At 49.6% G+C, this 2,019-nt stretch overlaps 1 annotated feature.

Annotated features, from left to right (window-relative positions):
• Positions 316 to 817: an enhancer, noted in NCBI's record as "H3K4me1 hESC enhancer chr1:212299717-212300218 (GRCh37/hg19 assembly coordinates)". NCBI's record gives its function as "activates a minimal SCP1, AML or CMV promoter by ChIP-STARR-seq in primed H9 embryonic stem cells {active_cell/tissue: H9 hESC(primed)}" and the evidence as "EXISTENCE:reporter gene assay evidence [ECO:0000049][PMID:30033119]".

Here is a 2,019-nt window from a genome sequence, read left to right as displayed (position 1 = left end):
CACATGATACTCCAATACAGCCCATAAGAAGCAATGGGACTTCTCTTTCCTATGGCCCTTGGCTTCTGCGGGAAGCAAAATAGAATGGAGACACTTATTTTCCTCAGCTCTGTATTTTTTACCCAAAGAGACACAGGGCAGCCAAGTTTGAATTTGTGAATGTGTGGCCTGGCGCGGTGGCTCATGCCTGTAATCCCAGCACTTTGGGAGGCCGAGGTGGGCGGATCACGAGGTCAGGAGATTGAGACTATCCTGGCTAACACGGTGAAACCCCGTCTCTACGAAAAATACAAAAAAATTAGCCGGGCATGGTGGCGGGCGCCTGTAGACCCAGCTACTCAGGAGGCTGAGGCAGGAGAATGGCGTGAACCCAGGAGGTGGAGGGTGCAGTGAGCTGAGATCGTGCCACTGCACTCCAGCCTGGGCGACAGAGCAAGACTCCGTCTCAAAAAAAAAAAAAAAAAACAAACAAAGAATTTGTGAATATGCGACATTCCAAACCTGGTCTCTGGGCCAGAGCTGGTGCTTGGAAGGGAAAGGCTTGGGGAGAAGGATGGAAGGAGTGGTGGCATCAGGTTCCAGCTCAGCCACAGGTTCCAGCCATGCCTCTACTGCTTGGGAGACAGAGGAGTGAGGGCGAACATGGGAGGGTGGCTCTGCTGGAGGGTGGACACTGTTCTCCAAGCAGTCTGGCCTTGGGGAAGGAGCCAGTCACCCCCACTCCCACTTGGACATACACACCCCAACCAGGGAAAGGCTGCCCTATGCATCCTGCATGCCTCTGTTACCTCTGGCCAGGGGCAACCCCATTTAATAAGAAGTCACTGGCCAACTGACAAGGATGGGAAGGTGACTTGTCATCTCTGGGCCCGTTCCTCATTTACAACCTGAAAGTTGAATGGGGTAATTTCTTTCTTTTTTTTTTTTTTTGAGATGGAGTCTCGCTCTGTCACCCAGGCTGGAGTGCAGTGGCGCGATCTCGGCTCACTGCAAGCTCCACCTCCTGGGGTTCATGCCATTCTCCTGCCTCAGCCTCCCGAGTAGCTGGGACTACAGGCACCTGCCACCACACCTGGCTGATTTTTTGTATTTTTTTCAGTAGAGACGGGGTTTCACCGTGTTGGCCAGGATGGTCTCGATCTCCTGACCTCGTGATCTGCCCGCCTAGGCCTCCCAAAGTGCTGCGATTACAGGCGTGAGCCACCGCGCCCGGCCGAACAGGGTAATTTCTAAGGCTCCTTTACTTCTGGCTATTAGTCTCTGGTTGGTCTGAAATGACACTGGGTTTAAATTATTTTACAGTCTTTGGATATCAAGGTCTTCACATGATTCGGTTGATAAGTACAGAGTTCTGGCAATGGTCCCAGGGCTATGGGGAAGAGAATGATTTGGGAGGGCTCTGCCTTGAAGAAAGGCCCTGATTCTATTTTGCAGGCCTCAGTTTCCTCAACTGTAAAATGAGACTCTGAAGTCTAGAAGATCTTTGAGATCCAGTTGTGGTTCTCTATGCTGAATCTCTGTCTTCATGCAATTTGGATTCCCAATAAATACATATTTCCTGAGCTATTTGCTTGGCATGTGTGCAGTACTATAGTGGAACACGGTCCCTGTCCTTAAGGAGCTCACAATATATTTTTAAAAACAGTAAGCCACATACATAGGAAAAACTAGCGTAATCCACATCCAAACGAATAATAGAGACACCAGAGGATGGCTGTCTCTGGGCATATTGCAGGCTGGAGGAAAGCAGGCAGAGGCTGTGACTAGAGCTTGCTCACCCCATGACTTCCTGCTAACTCGGCTCTCAGAGGGGTGTGGTGGAACCAGACTGCCTAGGTTCAGTCCTGTCTTCACCGCTTGCAAGCTTTAGGGAAGTTACTCAACCTCTCTAAGCCTCAGTTTCCTGATCTTTAGGATGGGGATAATAAAAGTATTGCCTTGCATCTTTGTTGTAAAGATAAAGTGAAATTATCCATGTAAAGTATTTAGCATAGTGCCTAAGACATAGGTGGTGCTCTA

Source organism: Homo sapiens, chromosome 1, assembly GCF_000001405.40.
Source record: "Homo sapiens chromosome 1, GRCh38.p14 Primary Assembly".
Taxonomy (NCBI): domain Eukaryota; kingdom Metazoa; phylum Chordata; class Mammalia; order Primates; family Hominidae; genus Homo; species Homo sapiens.
Note: the sequence above shows the minus strand (reverse complement) of the source record. Positions and strands in the feature narration are given on the sequence as shown.